The following is a 24,004-nucleotide window of genomic DNA, read 5'->3' as shown; positions in this document are numbered from 1 at the left end:
CTAAGTGAAACACACTGAAATAGAATCTGAAGATATGGAAATACAGCTCAAAGAAATATTTTTAAAATATATGGACAGAACAAAAACAAGATGTAAAACCAGAGTTGATTAAACCCTGGAAATAAACTGAACGCTAAATTATATTAGAAATAAAAACTAATTACAAGGTGTCTGAGAGAGAAGTGATTCAACTGAAAATATAATCAGGAGCATTGAAGAAAGGCATAAATATGGGAAAGAGAACAAAAAAGCAACATAGAGGTCAAAAGTATTCAAGAAAAAGTAACTAATAAAGAAAACTGGCAAATAAGACCTAATATGCTTGTACCTGTGTCTAATCTTTAACATTACACTTCAAGAAAAAAAGTCTCCTGGACCTCCACACCAAAAAATACATAAATAAAGGGTTACCTGCAGGGGAAAAAACTATCAGTGAAGCTATCCTTCAAATATCAAGCCTCTAGAAAACATTTTATACAATTAAGAACCCAGGGTATACTGCACTTACAAGCCCTTTCTAGGTAATCTAGCCGATGTGTTTTGTCCAACCAAGATATGACTCGCAAAAGAACTGATGGTGGATGAAACATATTTATTTGCAAATCTAAGATAAAAGCAAAGGAGGGAACCAGGGTGGAAGAAGAATAAGGAAACGTGTTCTGAAAAATAGAAATAATGAACTTAAAATAGAAGGAGAAAAGAGACAGAAACGGTAAAACAGGATAAGCTAATGAATTGTTCCATAGGTAGACTCAACGGATCTGATTTAAAGCTGACAAACCAAATATAGATCAAGTGAAGGAAAAAGGAATGAAGGGCATATAAAGGTTACATTTAATAATCATTAAAATAATAATACAACCTTCCCCATAGCCAAAATAAATTATTTCAAAAGAACAAGGAATGGGCCACATACAAAACACAATAACAAAATATAAACTATATATACATAAAATCTAAAATAATATGACAGATGAGATGAAATTTATTGGTCATATTTATAAATGTAAATGAGCTTAAAAATCTTATTAAATAAAAATACATTAAAATTGTCTCACAAAGCAAAATCTAACACCTAAAATAGAGTAATTCAAATGCCTAAGAATAAAGAGTTGGGGCAAAGCAGGGTTGTGATTCTGATATCAGATAAAACACACAGAGATGCCATTTCTCACCCATCAAACAAGCCAAAATTAGCCTTGGAAAGATGGTGAGACTTGATCTCTAGAAAAAAATTAAAAAAAAAAAAAAGGGCGTGGTGGTGTGCTCCTAGCCCCTTGGGAGGCTGTAGTCTCAGTCACTTGGAGGCTGAGGTGGGAGGATCACTTGAGCCCAGGAATCTGAGGCAGCAGTGAGCTACGATTGTGCCACTGCACTCCAGCCTGAGTGACAAAGCAAGACCCCGTCTCTTAAAAAGAAAAATTTCAAAAACTGACAACAGAGCCAGGTGAGGGGAAGAAGGCACCCAAACATGGTTGATGAGAATGTAAACTATCCTAGCCCTTAATGAGGGAGATTTAGCAATATCTAATAATGCTATATTCCCTTCTACCTTTGGAATGAGCAATCTACTGCCAGGAACTTATCCTGAAAATACACCTACAAAAACAACCACAAAGTATGTGTACAAGGTCATTCAGTTTGGAGTTATTTGTAGAAACATATGGAAACAACCTACCTGCACACTCATTGGTAGTTAGTTAAATAAATTACGGTAACTCTACCAGAACACCACTGCAAAAAAGAATAAAGATCTCTATGAACTAATATATAGTGATTTCCAAGAACAGATTAAGTGATAAAAGCAAAACGTAAAAAAGTGTGTATATAGTATTCTACGTATTTTACTTTGAACCATATGTTTTATATATTTTAACATAAAATTAAGTAAATAATACAATTAAATATATAAAGATGAGCGAGAGCTCTAAAACTGAACAAAACAGAAGAAAATTAACCTAACTGTATTATCAAATTAATGACATAATCATAGAGAAAAAAATTTGTTCAAGCAACTTTGGAACCAAAGAGTCTGACTCTATTGCCTCAGGGAATATACTCTAAGGACAAAGAGAAATCTTAAATTGTACATAAGTTTGTGGTTGGTAGTAGCAGTGGTTTGGTAATTCCAACAGTATTTTGCATGTACTGTAGTAAATGTATGGATATGGTTAATAACTATGATTCTCACTGTGAAAGGAAGGGAAAGAAATCTGAAATGTGTCAGGAAGAGGAAGAACCTGTGGTATGGAATTGCATTTGGAGGTACCACTATAACCTCCAGATATATCTTCTTAGCTCTGTCTGCTGAAAAAGGACATAAGAACCAATGACACCCTTCTCACCGATATCTTGATTTTTAAACACCACTCCTAAACAAGAGAAACCACCTATTTGAGAAATGGCTATTTGTAGGTCTGGAGCAGAGAAGACACAAGGTGAACATTCTGTTGTGCTGTAAAGGAAGAAGTACTGAAAAACTGATGGGAACTTCTGAAAAGGACACAGGAGTCAACTTGAAAGGTCTCCCACTCATCAAACTAGGGCCAATTTCAGAACCAAAAAAGAAAGTCAGTAATGTCAGTAATGAATCATCACTCTTGAATAGAATCCATGAGTTAATAATGATATTTTTAAAAAACAGCAGAGTAAAGAAGGTATTCCAGAATTAGAAAACCAACACCTCGCAAGCACTGATGTAATGATTTATTTAGGTAGAAGTCATCAATAAATGCTAAAATCTTGGGGAAAAATTGACAGGGAATAGGATATGCACGTGCTACAAAATATCATCCCTCAGATATCCTGTTAATTACAAAGACAAACCATATCTTTACAATAGAGAAATCTAGCAGATATCATCTCAATCCACCAAGTGAACAAAGTTAACATCACCAAAAAATGGGACTTCTGACATTATACCACCTGACAGGAAGCCGTGAAAAGGATGCAGTCTTACCCTAGGTAGATTTTATGCTAAAAATATTTAACTCCTCATCTACTCCTGAAAAAAAAAACATCAAAGAAATCCAAAGTGAGACTTGTTTTACAAACCATAAGCCTGGCCTCATCAAAATCATCAACATGAAAGACCACTTCCTACCCTCCTCAGTTTCCCATTCCTGCAATAAGGCAGAGGAGCTCTTCTAGATTAATAGTTAAAAGAGATGGCACAAGCTGGACACGGTGTTTCATGCCTATAATCCCAGCACTTTGAGAGGCCAAAACAGGAGGATCACCTGAGGCCAGGAACTTGAGACCAACCTACGGAACACGAAACCCTGCTCTACAAAAAATAAAAATAAAAAAATTAGCCAGCTGTGGTGGTGCACACCTGCAGTTCTAGCTATTCCGGAGGACTGCCTGAGCCCAGGAGTTTTTTGCTGCAGTGAGCCGTGATCACACCACTGTACTCCAGCCTGGGTGACAGAGTGAGACCTTGTCTCTAAAAAAATAAATAAAAGAGAGAGAGATGGAATAAATAATGGCAATGTATGACCCTGTGTTCTGGAATCAAAAGGGATAGATCTATAAAAAAAATCATTGTGACAACTGAATATGGACAGTAATTTTGATAAAATCACCATTAACTTTCTTAGAAGTGAGGGTGGTACTTTGGTTATACAGGAGAATGTTGTTCTTAGGAGATGCATTCTGCAATATTTTGGACTGTATTTTCACAATGTCTGGAACTTAATTTCAGAGTTCAGAGAAAACATTCCATGTGTGTATAAAGAGACAGAAAAGAATATTAACTTTTTGGTAAATCCAGGTGAATGGAAGGTATTAATATGTGTTCATTATACTACTCTTTCAACTTGTTTGTATTTTTCAAATTTATTAAAACAAACTATTGGAAGGAAAAAAAAATCACAGACACTATTTTATTTTTATTTCTTTGAGACAGGGTCTCGCTCTATTGCCCAGGCTGGAGTGTAGACACATGATCACAGCTCACTGAAACCTCGACTTCCCAGGTTCAAGTGATACTCCCACCTCAGCCTGCCAGCTGTCTCTTCTTGAAAGCTGTCAGGTGAGGGCTTTTCATCAAGAGCTGCCTTTACGATTGAACACACGTGATAAGGATGCCTGCCCATGTTCCAGGATTTCTACTGGGGAGGGATGACCTCTTTCCATAGCCTCGTAGTCCTCTGTAGACTCTTGCTATCTCTTACATGCTACTCTCCCTCTAAATCACTTTGTCCCAAAGGCATCCAACAAGGTACTCAAGGCTCCATAGTAAGAAAACAAGAACAGACTGCAGAAAGAGGTAAGGAGAGATGGAAAGCAAAGTGTGTACCCACGAGAATTTTTCTCGGCATACCAAGGCAAAGGCTCTCACTTTTTTCGTATTAGACTTGAACTGAGGACTCCTGACAGTTATCTTGCAATGATGTGCAGGAGGCTTGTTTGAGAATCCAGCAATGGGAGAGATCAGGGCTACACTGAGTGGCAGAAAGAACTGAGTTCCTGGAGCCCTGCTTTACCTCTGAGATCAAGTGAGGCATGCCAGAGTTCAAGAAGCCAATAAATTCCCTCCTTCTTTCACTTGTTTCCCTTCCGCCAGTTTGGATTGAATTTTCTGATCACTTACAACCCAATCTCGATGGACACAATGTTTTGCTGTAAAAATGTACCCTCTGGACAAACTGAAAAATAGGTCAGGGAAACAAATACTGCCTATTTACATCTCTTCTGTCAATTCACACAGCATATTAGGATAACAAAGTCTATGAGAATTCCCACAGTAAATAAATCTTACGTTTGTTCTTATCAGTATGATTTTCGTTTGGAGATGCCTATTAAGAATCCTTAAAAGTGGTCTTCCAAGGAAGGCAATTTTTGCAGTAATTGTGTGAAACTTGTTCATTTGCATGCAAAAAAATCCTCTCCTGTATCACATAATTTTGATATATGACATATGTTTGTTCTCACATTAGGAACTTGAGGTCCGTGTAATCAAACTAAAGATCCTAACAAGATTGAAATGCTTGAGTATATTTGCAAGGGTCTCACAGTACTTCATGCATGCCTGCACTATACTATTAGATATTACATAAAGCTAGCTATTTCCCAGTTTGACTATGTCCTGCTAGTGAGCAGGGTATACAACCTTTTCATACTTGTTATCTCTAGCAGGTTGAATTACACCTGATACATAGGAGGAATTCAATAAATGTTGTTGAATGAATAAAATCATTACCAATTTACTTTTCTTCTATGGGAATTACATGTCTTGTTTCTTTCCTTCATTTTCCCTTCTGTTACACATTAAATTAATGCCTTTATTGAGCAGCCTGTAGTAACTCCTAGTTCTTAGTCCTGGGAGGATAGAACGAATTTAATGCTCATTAGTGTGTACAACTAGTTTAAATGATTTGTTCACTGCACATTCCCTTTCACTTGTCCAGAATGAATCAGGTTTGATTATTATGGATCTCTTTAATCTTTCATTTTCTTGGACAAAATTCTACAATTAGAAATGTTTCCAGCCCTGCTTTACCTCATCTTTCAGACTAATAAAGAATGGCAAGTTTAACACACTCCTTTCTAAAACAGGCACATTAGGGGAAATAATTATACACTATTGTGCAAGACCTAGTAGAGTTAATGTCATCCCTTCAAGATAGAATATTTATTTCCAGGGCATCAGGTTGCTGAAACAGATGGTTTTGCTACCTTCCACTTACTATTGCCTGTGCAAGCTAGAGTAATGCATATCGTTGGAATATTTTCTAACCTTCCAACGACAGTAGAGAGAGCATAAACTAAACTATGTTGGCAAAAAAAAAAAAAAAAAAAAAGCTATGATGGTAGAGCAGACTTGAAATCATGTAATATGTAACAAAGATTTTTTTTCTGGAGGACTAAAGATAGCTCATCTTGAGAAGATTCTGGGCAGCATGAGAGTCATTTCAAAATACTTAGAGAGAGAGAAATATTTCAATTAATTTTGAACAAATAACTTGACCACATGACATGTGTGGGATACATTTTTAAAGACAAAAAGAACTATATAAAATTTAAATTATTGGCAGCTATCACAGTGCTGATGGTAGTTCTGTCATTCTAAGAGAGTGTTGTACACAGCGCGAGATAAAATCAAAGAGTAATTATATTGGTGACACTGAGAACAGAATTTTCAACATGGGGAAAAGATGCAGATGTAAAATTGGTGAGAGTAAAACTGAATTGATTTTAAATTGAAAATATCTGTATAAATTCATGGGCTATTTTATATGTAAAAAACATTGCTCAACTCTGCTCACTGAAAACTCCTAAATATTAATCCAACAGCAATCAGAATCACAACACTCATATTGTGGTCTCTAAATATGAGTTTAAAAAAAAAAAAGGAACAAAGGGTCTCAGAGAAAAGGTTGATTCCAGGCCTGGAACACAAAATATGCAAGATAATAATGGAAGCATTTATTATACCAGAAAAAGAATATACTGGGGTCACATTAAAGGACCTAGAAGTCAACTTGAATAGGCTCTCTCTAGCCAAAGATGGGGCAGTTTAAGCATGAACAGGTTTACGACTTCAATGAAATAAAACACATCAACTATGTTTAAGTTAATGAATTTACAATGAAAATAGGAAAACATCTCATTGGTGCCCTTCAGTGAATACTAGGGAAATAGCCCCTGATAAATAAAATGAAAGAACTGAGGATTAATTTTGCCTTTCCTACAGAAACTGTATCTCACTGTAACAAATGATTGATGAGAAGTTTCTCTTTATAAAAATATTCTAGCGAGTAAATGAAGAAGAAATAACAGAATGAGTGTCATTATCTGGCAAACCTCAATGAACACTTATAAGGATCTAGGTGATGGCAGCTGCTAACATCACTGGGAGGGACAAGCAGACATTTTGTACCTACAGATGGAAATACACACCGTCACTGGGAAGCAGTCTTCCCTCACCTTCTCAAAAATAAAATTAAACTTGAATTTGAGCCTTTTGCTCTTACTACCTACCAATTTATTGATAATATCAGGGATAGAACTTGCAAAATGACCCCATGAGATTGCAGCCAGCAAAATCCAGATCACATGAAGCCTGAAATAACCTAGATTCTTCAACCAAAAATTTTCAAAGGAGAAAAAAATGGAGAGGAGCCTGTAAAATTAAGGAGATGTAAGAGACATATCATCCTTCACCCACTTTTTGATGGGGTTGTTTGTTTGTTTCTTGTAAATCTAAATTCTTTGTAGATTCTGAATATTAGCCCTTTGTCAGCTGGATAGATTGCAAAAACTTTCTCCCATTCTGTAGGTTGCCTGTTCACTCTGATGATAGTTTCTTTTGCTGTGCAGAAGCTCTTTAGTTTAATTAGATCCCGTTTGTCAATTTTGGCTTTTGTTGCCCCTGCTTTTGGTGTTTTAGCCATGAAGTCTTTGCCCATGCCTATGTCCTAAATGGTATTGCCTAGGTTTTCTTCTAGGAATTTTATGGTTTTAGGTCTGGGAGTTGAACTGTTGGGAGCAAGCGCCCCAAAATCTGGCCATAAACTGGCCCCAAAACTGGCCATAAACAAAATCTCTGCAGCACTGTGACATGTTCATAATGGCTCTAACGCCCAAGCTGGAAGGTTGTGGATTTACGGGAATGAGGGCAAGCAACACCTGGGCCACCCAGGGCGGAAAACCGCTTAAAGGCATTCTTAAGCCACAAACAATGGCATGAGTGATCTGTGCCTTAAGGGCATGTTCCTGCTGCAATTAACTAGCCCAACCTATTCCTCTAATTCGGCCCATCCCTTCGCTTTCCATAAGGGATACTTTTAGTTAATTTAATATCTATAGAAACAATGCTAATGACTGGTTTGCTGTTAATAAATATGTGGGTAAATCTCTGTTCGGGGCTCAGCTCTGAAGGCTGTGAGACCCCTGATTTCCCACTTCACACCTCTATATTTCTGTGTGTGTGTGTGTCTTTAATTCCTCTAGCCCCGCTGGGTTAGGGTCTCCCGACCGACTCCACATTGAACAATGAGAACACATGGACACAGGGAGGGGAACATCACACACCGAGGCCTGTTGGGGGCTGGGGGGCTAGGGGAGGGATAGCATTAAGAGAAACACCTAATGTAGGTGATGGGTTGATGGGTGCAGCAAACCACCATGGCACATGTATACCTATGTAACAAACCTGCATGTTCTACACATGTAACCCAGAACTTAAAGTATAATAAAAAAATAAATAAATAAATAAGAGGCACATCATTAATCAATCACAATGTATAAGCCTTATTTGGAGCCTGACTCAAACAAATGACAAAGAAAAAATTTTTAGATCGGGAAATTTGAAAACTGGCTGGATATTTGATAATATAAACAAATTAATTTTTTATGTGATAGTAATATGGTTTTATGAAAAGTAGTTCATATCTTAAACAGATACATACTAGGCTATTCGGTGATGAATGAGGTATGCTATTTGTTTTAAGACAATCAGAGTAAAGGGGGCAATAAATGAAAGAATACTGGCCTTGAGTTGGTAATTATTGAAGTTGGTAATGGAGACGTGGATGTTCATGATATATTAGTCTCCTGACTTTTGCTTTTAAATTTTCCAAAAGATTTCTATAATATTTACAGTGAAAGCATGTAAACTAGATCAAATATGTGATCACCAACCTGGAATTTAGACCAAGTGACGTTACGTTTCTGATAAAGTACAAGGAAGTGTTTTTGAGTGGAATCACCCATTACAGAAAGAGCCATCTGAGTAGAGTATATTTCTAGTTTTTGAAAACTTACTAGAGCGGTATTGAGCATGAGCTGAGGGCTTGAATTATGATTTAGACCCATTCTAATTTAGTGGTCTGTGAGTTCTTTTTCACTATCTTCTTAAAGACCACCTGATTCAAAGTAAGCACTAATTGCAAAAACATGCACAGTGTTTGTTTTTGTGTGCTTGTGTAAATGCACAAATGTTAAGTGGAAGGGCCTGGGACACAGAGCACAGTAATGAAAGAAAAGTCAGAATTAGCACTTAAAACATTTCAGCAGACCAGGAATGAGCTGGAAAAAAAAAATTATGTGGGCCTGCTATGCTTGACTTACTGTGACTGAGAATACTGTTGAATTTCTATGAGTTCTCTAAAAGATAAAAATGATTTCTCTATCACTAGGTAACACATCCAAAGACCAAGTTTTAAAGGCACTAATTTAACTAAGTTTCAGGACACCATGCAACGAGACTATTAGAAGAACACAGTTCTGTGCTACCTGACCATAGTTTGTTTGACTTTGCTTCAGACACACTAATTTTGAATGTCTGGATCAGAACTTCTATACCAGTAGGCTTTTTATAAGGGTCAAATTCAACTCACCAGGAAACTAAAAGAGAAAAGAAGTAGAACAAAAGCTAGACTTCTTCCAAATAGTCGTTTAAGATTATTCTGTAACTCTTGTACCAAATGTTTGAATAGACACCATCCAGACAAACTGACTGGCTTTTTTTTAGCATAAAGAAAGAAATTAGGTTTCTCATCAGGTTTTTCCTCTTTTTAATCATGGAAACAATAAGTGGTGAATGCATTTTTGACTGTCCATATCATCTACCATCAAAAAATAACACCTCTGCATTCTGAACCCAATTTCAATTCTGACTTATGCAATTAAGCAATCAAATCCTGTTTCAGTAATTAATAGTTTTCTTCTGCATGTCTCACTGTAATTTCACTTCATCTGCTGTGGAGCAGCTCTTTCGGCTTGAATCATCTGCATTTTGGACTATCCACCACCAGTCTACAATCTCAACCTTAGGCTGAGGCAGCCTATCAAGGATCTCCTTACATTGGAGAAACTGGAAAAATCATATTGATGTGCATGTGCATTCTATTTGAAGATGGTTAATACTTTCTCCCCAGACAATTTAGGCATTTGTCTTCTTTCCAATTCATTTCATCACTGGATTGCTAAAAATCATTCCTTTTACTCCATGAATTTCCTAGCCAAGTTCACTGCTAACCAAAATTAAGAAAAAGAAGCATTCCAGATGCTTCTGTCTCAGATAATTTTAGAACTTGAATCTCAACACAGGACATCTGAAGGCAAAATCACCTTTCAGAAGTAGCCAAACTCGGTTCTGTGAATTTGTAAATGAAGAAATCTAAATGACCGGCTCTCCCCTCACTTTATATCCACAGACATTTATTGAGCACTTACTAAAAGAACCCTAGTTATTGGCAGAGAGATAGGTTACAGTAAGCCAGAAAAATGTGCCCTGATCACTACAACTAATCCCAATACTGAGTGAAAAGTAAATGAGCAATGAGGCATCAGAGCAGCTGTTTGATAAAAGAACTTGAATCAACATGTTCAGGAAGACAACCACAGATTAAGATAGGTCAAGGGTCAATCCTATCTGCTCTCCAAAAGAGAATGAGTTACTAATTAAAGAAAAATCTTAGCTAAGATCTTGATAAAAAAAAAAAAAAAAACTTTGTTAACAGAACCACCATCATGGCAGAGAGGGGCCCAGAGGGCAAGACTACTCACACATTTTTTACTCTTTGAAAGCAAAGCTAAGAAGATAAATTACCTGTATGAAATAAGTTGTATCTTGTGCAAGCAAATTCTTAAAAGGTTGTAATAATTTGCACTGGCAGAAATAGATGTTATCAAAATGATTTTTCTAAGTGGATCATTAATTATTAGCCTCTTCTGGAAGCACTTTGACTAGTTACTTACAGGTTAATTTGACATTCTTAATATAGCCACTTCCATCACAACCATCATGTGGGACAATGAAATCGCAGTTATCATAATTATCATAACTTAATTAGCAAGTACCAATTACAGTTCTGCCATGTCCTGGTAGGCCAGCATCAACTGATTAGGCAAAAGGATGAAAATTACCCAAATCCCTACCCATAAAATGCTCCCCTTAAACTTCATTAAAGAAGGCAACATGGTCATTGCATTTACTATTTTATCCTTGGCATCAGGAATAATATAGGTTCTTGGAAAAAATAAATCTTTGCTAAATATAAATGAATGAATAAATAAATGCATTAATAAAAGTCTTCTTCATAGGAACTTTAATTCAGTTGGGATTCCCTAAGCTGTAGAACAAATACAGACCACACCTGAGATACGAGTTTGCTTTTTCTTGGAATTATTAATTATGAAAATTTTTATTTTGTGTTATTGATTTAATGAATACAAAGTATTTTTTTAAGGAGGTGCTATTATTCCAGCTCAGTCATTCACATATTTGGTTCCCTAAATAGCCTTGGACCAGTATTTGAAAATCTTACAGGTCTAAACTCATCAAGGAAATGACAGATTTTTCAAAATGCCATAGTAGAAATAGATCTTCACAAACTATCACAGAAAATTATGATTACTACCCATAATGAAAGAAAAATGGGTAGAAAACAAATGATAAAGAAATATTATGAAATATTGTTGACTTTTTCTTCCTAGTGAAGTCATTATCATTGGGAAGAGAACAAGATCAGAGAGGTGTGAGTGTGTGTGTGTGTGTGTGTGTGTGTGTGTGTGTGTGTATGAATGAATCCTGTTAAAAGTATCATCAACATTTGCAACTACTAACAGATTGGACCTCCATCTAGCCCACAGACCTAAGTTAAAGAAATAGTCCTCTGTGACTAGAAGCCAAGCAGGACAGTTGTAAATACACCAGATATGAGGACCAAATCGCAACAATATCTCAGGAACACAACTCCCAATTCAAGATATCAGAAAAAGCACTCCCAGATAAAATCACAAAGACACAACTTCTTCCAAAACATACCAAAAAATCATAAAACACTTATTTCTTCTTTTACTGGCAGTTTATTGAAGTTAATGTAAACTAGAAATACAGTACAGTATAAACATGAGCACAAATAATGTTTTACTGATTCATGCTTTATTAATCCATTCATTCATTCAACACACATTTATAAAGGCCTATTATATATATATCAGGAACTGTGTGAGTCACTAAGGTTTCCATGATGATTTTTATGGTTTCTTCCTCCATGGAATGTATCTAATGGGAAGGATAGTTATCACATGATCACACACAGAGATGGAAAGTTATAACTGCATTAAGTACACAAAAAGAGGTGTGCATGGTGATATAGCAAATGGAGTGGGGGACCTGGCTACTCAAGATTATGGGAATCTCAAGGGAGCATTGGAATTAACCCAGCAGAGGGACATGGGAGAAGCATCCAGGCAGAGAGAGAACATGTTTAAAGGATCTGTGAAGGGAAGGAATTTGGTATGTTCTATGAAGAAAAATAAAGCCTATGGGCTGAAAGCAGAAAGCGAAGTAGAAAGTATTGCAAGATGTTTGGAGAGGTGAGCAGAGAACAAATCATGTGAGGCCTTCAAGGCAATGGTATGCATTTGGGTTTTTATTCTTAAAACAGTGGGAAGTCTTTTCAGAAGTGTTAAGCAAAGGGAAATGACTAAATGGGGAGGTGTTTTCTTTGGTTGGTTGCTTGGGGGTTTTAATAATCACTCTGGCTGCTGTATGAAGAACAGACTGGAAGAGTGCAGAAGTAAAAACTGGGAGGTGGGGCCGGGCGCACTGGCTCACGCCTGTAATCCCAGCACTTTGGGAGGCCGAGGCGGGTGGATCGCAAGGTCAGGAGATCAAGACCATCCTGGTTAACACGGTGACACCCCGTCTCTACTAAAAATACAAAAAAGTAGCTGGGCATGGTGGCAGGCATCTGTAGTCCCAGCTTCGGGAGGCTGAGGCAGGAGAATTGCATGAACCCAGGAGGCGGAGGTTGCAGTGAGCTAAGATCGCGCCACTGCATTCCAGCCTGGGCGACAGAGTGAGACTCCATCTCAAAAAAAAAAAAAAAAAAAAAAAAAAAAAAAAAAAAAAAAAAGAAAGAAAGAAAGAAAAGAAAGAAACTGGGAGGTTGGGAGGCGGATAACTAGCTGTTGTAGTAGTCTAGTTAAGAGATGATGGCTTAGACTAAAGGTAGTGGTGGGGAAGGAAAGATGGCAACTGACTCAAGAGGTAAAGTAGCTTTGACTTGGTGGTGGATTGGCTTTAAGGGTAGAGTCAAGGATGACATCCAGGTTTCTCTCTACTCACTAAAAGCAGAAACAGTGGAAGCAGGTAAATCTGGGGGGTAGGATCATGAATTTGGTTCGGAAAAGTGCAGAGGAGTTAACATAGCAGACCTGAGACTGGTGGCCTTTGAAAATCCTGTGTGCAAGGTTGGGCTGTTTGGCATCTGGGAACTTGAGTTTCGGGAGGGTTCCTGCCATTCCCCAATTAGAATTGTTCACTGCACCTAAACCATTTATATAAATGATATGGTTTATTATGAACACCTGCTTTTCTTCTGTGGATGTGGAATTTTGGTATATGGTAGGCAAGGGATGCCTATGAGACTCCTAATACTGGGCACTGAGTCTCTAATGAGCTTCCCTGGTAGATAACATTTCACGTGTGTGGTCACAATTCAGTGCTAGAGGAACTAAGTGCTTTCTGTGTGATTTACTAAAGCAAGTCTCTTGGAAGCTTGATCCTGGTTTCCTCCAGACTTCGCCCCATGTGCGTTTTCTTTCTGCTGATTGTGCTTTGTACCCTTTTTAGGAAATAAATCATAGCCATGAGAATGACTACATGATGAGTCATGTAAGTCTTCCTAGTGATTTACCAGATTTGTAGGTGGTCTTGGGATCTCTGAAACAAGGTACATATTGACTTTGAATTAGTAATGTCATGAAAGCACAGTATACATCTCATGGGGTAGCTCTTGGCTGGAGATCAAGACATGGGCCCATTGATGGTATGTGATCTCTCTAGGCTCAATATTCAGTACAACTAGCCATGTAGAACTAAATGTTCAAACAGGATGATCTTAAGAAATTATCTAGTCTAGATTCCTCAGTTTTTCAAATGAACTAAGGTTGAGAGAGGTAAATACCTTTCTAGAGGTCACAGAGCTAGGACCAGTACAACAAAACCACATCTCAACTCTTACTAGTTCCTACCAGTCCATTATTTACTGCCTCACTGGCATCTGTCCTTTCTCAGGAGGTCTCCTGCTTGCCTCAGAATGTGCCACATGGTTGCAGATTTCTACCATGTTGCATTTTCAATTAAAACAGCTAAATGGGGTGTCTTAAAAGGTCGATTTCCAAGCTGCCAGGACAATAATGCCACAAACTCCACCAGATTTTATGAGTCAAATGACAGTATAAATCATTAGAAAAATGTGTGCCAACCGCAGAGACAGTGATGTCTCAAACTCTTGGAGTACTGAACACCATCCAGTTGGCTGAGAAAAAGCCATGGGGCTTAAAATCATTTTTCACAATTACTATCCTAGCTAGTTCATAGCTTTTGGCAGATATGCCCCACACGCATAACCGAACTCAGCTAATTTTCACTCTGCTGATCGACAAATATGAATTTTTTTTCCTTCAGAAAAACCACCCAGAGAGCGTTCATGAAATCCGAGGTAGTGCATCAAAAATGAATCCATTTATTACTGTCTGCCTTTAAATAATGCATATTAAATAGGCCACACAATATTCATCACAAAAAGTTCTACTGTGCTAACTAGGATGATGAGTCAAGAGTACCAGTCATATGAATTACTAGAGTCTGAGAGTCAAATAGAAACACTTCTGAGTCCTTCTGTGAGGCAGAAAAAAAATTGTGTGTGTGTATGTGTGTGTATGTGTGTGTGTGTGTGTATTTAAAGTTATTTACTACGGGATTCTCCAAAATCATTATTGGCTAACAGTTAAACTTGAAATACCATAAATGCAACATCAATTTCCTTAAGCAATGAAATATTTACATAAGTGAAGGAATAAAAGATCTTTTCTATTAAACTCACATTTTCAGCCAAGTGTCATTTCTAAGTTGTCATCTTGGGACTATGCAATAGCCCAACTGTTGAATTCCATGTACGAATATGTGTTTTATGTTGACTTCAAAAACATACATCTATTGTAAATTGAATAAGCCCTCCTACAAAGAGAAGCCTCCCACCAACAAGGGAGAAACCCCTCAATGTATTTCGAATTCAGCGCAAGTGATGACTCTGTAGAGGATGAAGAGATGCTACTAAAATAGAGATCACGAGGGACTTCAATTATATAGATGATACTCCATTCCTTAGTTTGGGGGTAGGTGGACAGCCATTTCAATGTTTATTTATGATTTTAGATATGGGGTCTTGCTCTGTCTCCCAGATCAGAGCATAATGGTGCAATCATAGCTCACTGCAGCCTCGACCTCCTAGACTCAAGTGATCCTCCTGCCTCAGCCTCCCAAGTAGCAGGAACTACAGGTATATGCCACCAAGCCTAACTAATTTTTTTTTTTATTTTACATTTTTTTAGAGAGAGGGGATCTCGCTATGTTGCCTAGGCTGTCTTGAACATTCTAAACATTTTATAATTTTTAAAATATTTAACTCCCTAAACTTTCTCAATTGGTAGTCCCAGATTCTTAAGGAAGAGTCTTACTTCACCTCTCTGTCTCTAGAGTCAAACTGAGTTTTCTTTAGTCGTGAAAAAACGGGCCACTGTATCAGCTGGGTACCTTAAAACCAATTCTATTACACTGAGTTTCCAAAGACGTGGCCAAATCCTCACGACCTTTCCTATCAGATATCCTCTGTCTCTGGAGCAGCTTGAAAGAATATATAAGCTAAGGGTATTTTCAATCAGCGAAGGTAAAGTGAAAATATCTTCTCATATTAAAGCTGCCAGCTTTCCAAATAGAAAATAGTGTCAGCAAGAGGAAGGTATAAGATCAAGAAAAAGTTAAATTGACCAAGTGTGCTTTAAAATGCCCCATAAGTTTAAAAGCCTTTCTTTCCCCATCTGATAACTGGGGAGGCTGTGCTCACATAACCTTGGTTAATTAAATACGGTAGGGAAGTGGTGTCTCAAAGGGGTTTTGAGACCCCAGCATCAGCATCAATTGGAAACTCGCCAGAAATACAAATTCCCAGATTCTGTGCCAGGGGTGGGAGGGTAGGCAAAAATCTGGTTTTAAGAAGACCTCCAGGTGATTCTAATGCCTGTCCTTTATGAAGCATGATGTAGAATTACGTTACAAGTAAATGGCTGAGTTTGAACACCAGGGTCAGTCCCTGGTAAATGGTGTGACTTTGGGCTGGTGACTTAACTTTTCTTTGCTTTCATTTCCTCATCTATAAAATGAAGATTATAACTGTAGTTATTAACTCACTGGAACACTGGCGATAAGATAATACACATGAAAGTGTGGCAAAATGCTTGACACACACTAAGCGTTCTCTACTATGGAAATGACACAGGTTTGCTTTTATTACAGAGTTTGCTCATCCATTTATTCAATCAAAATTTATTGAGCATTTACCACATACTACACGTTAGTTCTGATGAAATCCCACTGCCTTTGCCCCACTCCACATCAAAAACTAAAGGAAGGCCCAAGCTTGGATCTGTTTAACAGTTCTGCAGGAGCTTCTAATGGAAGAAACAAATCTGTGAGCAAAAATTACAGGCCAATGTCCAGGGAGCAGAGGCTAGATATATGCACGTGATCCCAGAGAAACTTTTAGCAGGGAGTTGCTTGTCCAGCAAGTTTTCTTTGATGCTTACATATTACTCCCCTGCTTTATTAATCTTAGGAGGCACAAATCATGTTTTTCTAAACTCTCAGCGCTTAGCATCATGTCTAGCAAATAATAGATGCAGAAGAAGCTTGTCAATGCAACAAGAAGTGAACTGAATTTCTAGGATTAACCCTCCAACTCCTAGAAATCTCAACACAGTATGTCAGGACACAGCAGTAATTATACAGCTATCATCTCCATAACAAACTCTCATAAATGTACTCTTCCCTGAATATATTGCCCAAGCCTCAAGGCTACACATAATGATTTTGCACACCAGTTTCCAAGGGGAGGAGCGACATGGGAAAAGCTTGTAAATTAATTAAAAGAGACACGCAGGCACACTTCATGCCATTCTTTAATCTCCATTCTCCTGTGATAAATATTGAACGACAGAAATGGGCCCAGGCTAACGAGCTGGAGGCAGGACCCTACGGAGGTCAGAAACACTGCAGCAGCTCAGGGCTCAGGAAAAGGAAGAAGGGTATCAGCACCTTGCCTGGGCTGTGTCAGTGATGTGCTGCCAAACAATACTCCCAAGAATGCCCACTGGGCATGGGATCTCACCTTTCTTTGACTCATTTGAACAAAAGGTAAAAAGGAACTACTATGTATTGCAATTAAGAAGTCAGAGAATAACAACAATTATGATTGACTGAGGGTTTTCTGGTGTCAGGCACTGTGTTAAAGGCTTCTCATTAAAAATTTCATTTAATTGTGGTAGCCGGCCTCCAAGATGGCTCCCGACACTCCTTACCTCCTAGTACGCCACCCACACATATTCCCTGTTACATTGAATCAGCGTTGACTCATGTGACCAATAGAAAACTACAGAAATAAGGGTCTGTGACTTCTGAGGTTAGATGTCATAAAAGACATCACTACTTCCAACACGATCTCTTGGATCACCTGCTTGGGAAGCCAGCACCACGTCAAGTGGACATTCACACAGCCCTGTGGTGAGGCCCACATAGAGAGGAACCCATGTGCCAGCCTTGTGACTGGGCCACCTTGAAGTCTAGCTTCCCGCTCTCACCAAGCCTTTGAGTCTTCTAGCTAAAGCCCCAGACATCCCAGAACAGAGGAAAGCCATCATCCCTGGGCCCCGTCTGAATTCCTGACCCTCAGAATCTATGAGATAATTGTTTTTTTTTTTTTATTTGAGGGGGTCTCATTCTGTCACCCAGGCTGGAGTGCAGTGGCACAATCATGGCTCACTGCAACCTCTGCCTCCCAGGCTCAAGCCATCTTCCCACCTCAGCCTCCCAAGTAGCTGGGACCACAGGAGCACGCCACCTCGTCCAGCTAATTTTTTGTATTTTTGGTACAGATGGGGCTTCATCGTGTTGTCCAGGCTGGGAGATAATTGCTTTAAAAACTAAGTTTTGTTATGCAGCAAGATACCACTCATACATAAGAGCTAGACACTTTTATGTTACAGTTGAGGAGAGTTTGACTGATTCAATCATGGAGATTCTAAGTGAAGCAATGGGGATGGGCATCCAGATCTGCAGATCTGAAAGTCCTGACTCGTTCTGTCCTAACAGAGAAGCATAAGGTATGGAACCTGTTTCCCATCCCTTTTATTAAGGGAAAGTAATCATTTAACAGGAATCTGTGAAGTACTTTGGTTGTCCTCAAGATACTTTATTTATCCCACAGGGGACCCACCATTCTGCCAAGTGTTTCAGTGACTTCTCTTTGGATAGATTAGAGGCTTCCTCACAGCACCGTAAACAGCAGAAGGGTGGAGACAGGATGTTGTGCTAATCCCATGGACTCTGCATCAACCTGCCTGTATTGGCATCTCCACCACTTTCAGGCTTGGTGATCTTAGGTAAGTTAACTAAATTTCGCAAGCCTCACAGGTTTCTCACTTTAAAACTAGGCCAATTTTAACACATGCATTTGTTCCAGCTGCATTAGAAAAATATTCATGGCCAGGCACAGTGGCTCACACATGTAATCCCAACACTTTGGGAGGCCAAGTGGGAGGATCATTTGAGCACAGGAGTTCAAGACCAGGCTCAGCAATACAGTGAGACCTTGTCTCTACAAAAAGTTTAAAAGTTAGCCAAGCACGGTGGCATGCACCTGTGGTCCCAGCTATTTAGGAGGCTAACGTGGGAGGATCACTTGAGTCCAGGAGGTCGAGACAAGCCTGGGCAACATGGTGAAACCCTTCTTCTACAAAAACTACAAAAATTAACCAAGCATGGTGGTGCGCACCTATAGTCCCAGCTATTTGGGAGGCAGAGATGGGAGGATTGCTTGAGCCCAAGAGGTCAAGGCTGCAGTGAGCTGAGACCACATCACTGTACTCCAGCCTGACAGAGCGAGACTCTGTCAAAAAAAAAAAAGAAAAGAAAAGAAAAAAGAAAAACCTCATAAAGTATTAGCACATTGCCTGGTGCATAGTAAGTGCTCAATAAATGTTATGTATTTGTAATATTATCATCAAATATGTGTTGAAAAACACCAAACATGTTAAATGGCCAATCAAAAGCTCTTCTCTCAGTCTCTCCTCATGTTGGAAAGACATGAAATAATAGTGGTTCTTCAGAGTGACAAGATCTCACTATGCAGGCACTGAAACCTTCAGCCACCAGGCTAGCCAAAGGGCTAAAGCCCTGGTCATGGCTCCTGCTAGAGTCCAGTCTGCCCTGCTGGGGTGATGAAAGGATCAGGGAAAGCTACTAGATAGTTCTACTGTCCAGTGGATCATGCATAGACAGCAATTTGGCTCTTTCCTATGAGAACAAGCAAAAAGGGTCTCTCTCACCCTGGTCTTATAAACAGGGGTGTAGAGGCAGCTTTGCTTCCTCCTATCTCTTAATCCCATTACATTCTTATCATTTTGTCAGTGCAGACAAAGCTCCTTAGCTCCTGCCAGTGCTCACTCCAATGCCTTCCCTTGGGGTTCACTCTTTGCGGCTACTGGGGCTAAGGATGCTTAGATCCGCCTTCCCTTGAACTTAGCTTTATGATTCCTCCCTTTTTCCCCTTAAACATGAGGAAAATTTCTGTGTAAAATTCTGTTTGGGATCCAAAATATTTCCATAACCTTTCATTTCTGGGTAAGACCAAGAAAAGGGAAATTAAGAGAAATACCAGCCACATTCACCCATCTCAAAATAAGCACAAATTCCTAGCCTTACAAGGTGCTGGGTTAGGTTTCTGGGGAGATATAAAAAGGGATCAAGATGCAGAGCTTGCCCTCAAGAGACCCGCCCCCCCACAAGTCCAATGGGGAAGGTTAAAAAACAATATGAATAACTACAGTGTAAAGTGCCATGATGGATGCCATGAGCAGCAGGGAGAGGGTCCAAGAGACCAGAGGAGGGAAAATGACAAAAGATAGGAACACAGGAAAGGCCTTCCAGAGCAGTCAGCCTCAGGTGTGGGTTCTGAGGACAGGGGATCCTGACCCAAGGAGGTGGGGAAGGGCAGGGAACGTATTCCAGGCAGAAGGAATGGGAGGCAGGGAGCCAGGAAAGCATGAGGCAGCTATGGGAATGCTATGGATTCATGTTCTTCTTTCAGTTTGGAGACATTTTGTAAAGAAGCAGGAACAGGAATACAAAAACTAAAGTAGTATAGTGAATAATATACTGGCAAAATTTAGCAATAAAAACTTTCAAGAAAGAAGAAAGTAAAGGGTGATTTACACATTATAGAGCAAATTGGTGACATGTGGATTTCATGAGTAAGTAACATATTCAAATTCATTTCTCAGTGATCATGAACCTAAAATCCCTAAGAGATTAGAGATGTATGTTTTCAAAGGAGGCCATGCCAAGTAAACTGGTGGATTACTCTTCCCAACATGTTAAGTAGGTTTCCTTCACTGAAAAATCTTTTGCTTGAACCATGAACTACCAAATCGAACACTTTCCATGATTTCCTTTCCTGGTCTACTTTTACAAAGTATTACCTAAAGTGAGAGTGCACACATCAGATGACATAATTTTGGGGCCTATTACTTACCAGCAGAGTCATTTCAATGATGTTCAAGAACCAGTGTGCATTAGCTAGACTAGTTTCAAGGTACAGTAAATGTGTATCAGAGGTAACATGATTATTGATAGGTCTAAGGGTATGTGCACTTTTGCGTATTTTTCTATCCTCTGGCCCAAAATTAGAAAGCTACTGCACAAAGTAAGCTCTCAAACAGAATTTCTGTGAGTCGGAACTCCCTTCTTTTTCTCCTTATTTTAACCAACAAGCCAAGTTAGAAAGAAAATCCAGACAGCATCATAGGCCATTAACCAATCTCAAATGGTGGGTATTAAAATAGGAAACAATCCCTGGTCAGTATTTCTGTGTCCTCCCAAGACCAACAGATTCTCTGCATACAACACAAAACCGGATGACATGGCCCTAGGCCAGGCTTCCTTAGCAAGCTTACCATATACCACATGCTGGGCCACTTGGGATCATTGAAATAGGTAGACTGGGCACGACTGAAGTCATAATCCCTCTTTGTCCGCTTTTTTACCACTTGCTGTTGGATCCATTCCACCTGTCAAGAAGGACATTTGGTGAGTATTCACGTTCCATCAGGGTTATTACAACATAAATGACAGTCTGAGGCATTTCCCATTGTAAGTCAAGGCTATTTAAGTCACAAGTTTCACTGTGGCTACTAAAATCTCTGAGTCTAAGTGCTCAGAGATTCCTTAGAAACCCAGGGCTTTTTTTTTGTTTGTTTAATGCAAGCAGGTGTTTTAGTTTTTTATATAGAGTATTTATACCTCTCAACAACAAGCTAACTTTTAGCTTTCTCAGAAATCCTATTTTACTTCCAATTTATTACAAATTGGTAATGTTAATTTTTAAGGTAACTTTTCATCCTTACTTTATACTAAGGGCTAGCCAACTTTTTCTATAAAGGTCCAAATAATACGTATTTTAGGCTTTGCAGGTCACGTGGTCTCTGATGCAATCACTCATTTTGCCATTGCAGCACTGTAGATGATATGTAAATGAATGGGTGTGAATGTGTTCCAATAAAACTTTATATACAAAACCAGGCTGGATTTTGTTCCACATGCCACAGTTTATAATTCCTGACTTACTGACTTAGAGTATGCATCAATTTTTAAAAACATTCTGGGATCAAAACGCTCCAGGATCATTTTTTTTTTTAATGGCTTTCTACAACACCGTGCGGTGGAAAGACACTATTTGGAGAATTAGAAAAACCAAATCCCTAGCCCTATCTCTGGCACAAAATTGGAGAAGCCACTCAATTTCCTAAGCCATAGGCTCCCTGCCAGCTGTAAAATTCAAACATGCTCTATTGGAGAAACATCTTAATATTTAGTTATAAGCTTGTTTAAACAAGGTAACCAGAAACCTTGAGTCTAATGCAGAATTTATAACCTAGTGGTAGGGGTGTGTATGGGAACACTTTCTTTAAAACAGATTATCCTTACGGCAACACAAAAATAAGCATGTTCCAGTTTTAGCGGGATGTCTCAAATGCAGAATCAGCCCTGGTGGCATTCTTCAATTTGTGCCTAAATGCTCCTTTGTTTGATTTCTTCTGGTGATAGCTCATTTAGTCACAATGCTCTGGAATGTTTTGTTCTACCATTTATCCCTCCTCTCCACAAAGGAATTAAAAAATGAGTGGGGAGGAAGGGAGCTTTGTGGTCCACTGCTGTAATTCCATATCCAGCCATTCAGTAAACATTTTAAGACCTCTCTCACCTGCTCAATTAAAAGATTACTGGAGAAGGGATCCTAAGGCATCCTTCTCAGTCAAAGTGGAGCAGCAAGGATGGGTTTGCACGTACATTTTCTATTTCCAGGAAACAATTTAACCTCTTCATTTCAAAAAAATCTAAGGGATCAGGTTCATTCACTCATTTATTCATTCAACAAACAAGTGCTAGGTACTGTGTTAGAAATACAAAGATGAGTAAGAATTGGTTTTACCTTTGAAGGACTTACACTTTACCAAGGAAATGTAACAAGTATTCCACAATTCTCCACTTCATAAAAATATCTTTACCTCCATGAATGACATCTGACACAGGCCCTATCACTGTATTACTTAGACTATTTATGATGATTTTGACTATGCAACTTGTAATCCTTATATTACTGTCTATAAGTATTATCCTAATAAAGTTAACTAGTTCATATTTGCATGCTTGGTAAAAGAAGGCTGCTTAGACAACTCTTTTCAAAACTAATCCTATATTGGCAGTGGCCTTTCCTAATGAAGCATTCATAAATTCCACACTGCCAACCTATATGTGTGCATAAACCGGAAAGTATCATGTCTTCCCCACTGCGGACTCATTAAAGAGACTCCTAGAGGTCAGGACAGTCTATCCTGGGGTGGGAGTGGATAACAGTTCCTTAGAAGGACACTATAAATATTCATTTCTCCCTATGCATACATTCAAATAGACAAATGAAATAAGTATGTGAGAAAACCAAGTGACAGCCATTTTCCTAGATGAACTATAGGTACTAAAATAGAACAAAATATCTTACCCAACAGCATCCCTTCTATAATTTTACCAAACAAAAATGCTTAGTTACAGGACTTAGTGGCTAGAAGGTGACACAGCAACTTGGCATCTAGATTTGACGACAAGTCACTCTGTCTGATCACAGGGCTGCAATACTTAAGAAAAGTTCAGTGGGTTTTTTTTAGTGTCAAATACCATGTATTTTGCCTGGGTGCCTTACGGGTATGTGTATATAGCCCTGTATTTTTTGGAAAGTGGGAAAAGTACCTCTTGGATCGGAAGGTTTCTATGACTGGAAAGACCATATTTATATTTTTAAGCTATTATCCATATGTCTATCCTTGAGCTCTTTAAGGAAAAAGCCAGAGGTTATGCATTATACAGATTTTATTTCTTGCCAAGAAGCCTCATGCAAAGAAAAGACACTTAAAAATTCATTTTCATAAAACTATGGTCAGCCTAAGAGAAGGGAATTATTGTGTGCTTTGCCTCACTGGCTTAACTTTTGAAAGTTCTATTTCCAATACATTAAGGAACTACAGTTAATTCAGGGTGTAAAAGCTACAGGACCTTTGAAATCATCAGTCTATCCTTCGTTAATTTAAACATACATGTGCTACATGATTTCCGGGACACTCCCTCCCTCTACTCAGAGTACTCTCTCCCTTTGGACCTTGGTCCAAGTAAACATTGTGCATTTGCTGCTTAAGAACCTTTGTCTAAAGATGTCCTCCTTTATAAGATCCAAAACACATTAATTGACAGTTATGGGAAGCCTGCCCTCATAATCTCAGCTGAACTTGTATCTCATTATTTTGGAATTTGCCAGCTTTCTGACACTACACATGGGGCAAGCAATAGGAGGAAAAAAAATGTGACCATATGCATATAAATTAT

General features: G+C 38.6%; 1 protein-coding gene across 8 annotated transcripts in view; it reads right to left on the bottom strand.

Annotated features, from left to right (window-relative positions):
- Positions 1–24,004, bottom strand: part of PCSK5 (proprotein convertase subtilisin/kexin type 5) — a 473,167-nt gene that overhangs the window by 355,703 nt on the left and 93,460 nt on the right. For all 8 annotated transcript variants that reach the window (NR_120409.2, XM_047423454.1, NM_001372043.1 and 5 more), the window contains exon 3: positions 21,028–21,141. Coding sequence is in view for 7 of the 8 variants with exons in the window: in XM_047423454.1 (XP_047279410.1) it covers positions 21,028–21,141 (114 nt within the window). In the remaining variant the exon portion in view is untranslated. The remainder of the gene's footprint in view (positions 1–21,027; positions 21,142–24,004) is intronic.

The sequence above is a fragment of the Homo sapiens genome, chromosome 9 (genome assembly GCF_000001405.40).
Source record: "Homo sapiens chromosome 9, GRCh38.p14 Primary Assembly".
NCBI classification, from domain to species: domain Eukaryota; kingdom Metazoa; phylum Chordata; class Mammalia; order Primates; family Hominidae; genus Homo; species Homo sapiens.
This window is presented reverse-complemented; position numbering and strand designations above follow the sequence as displayed.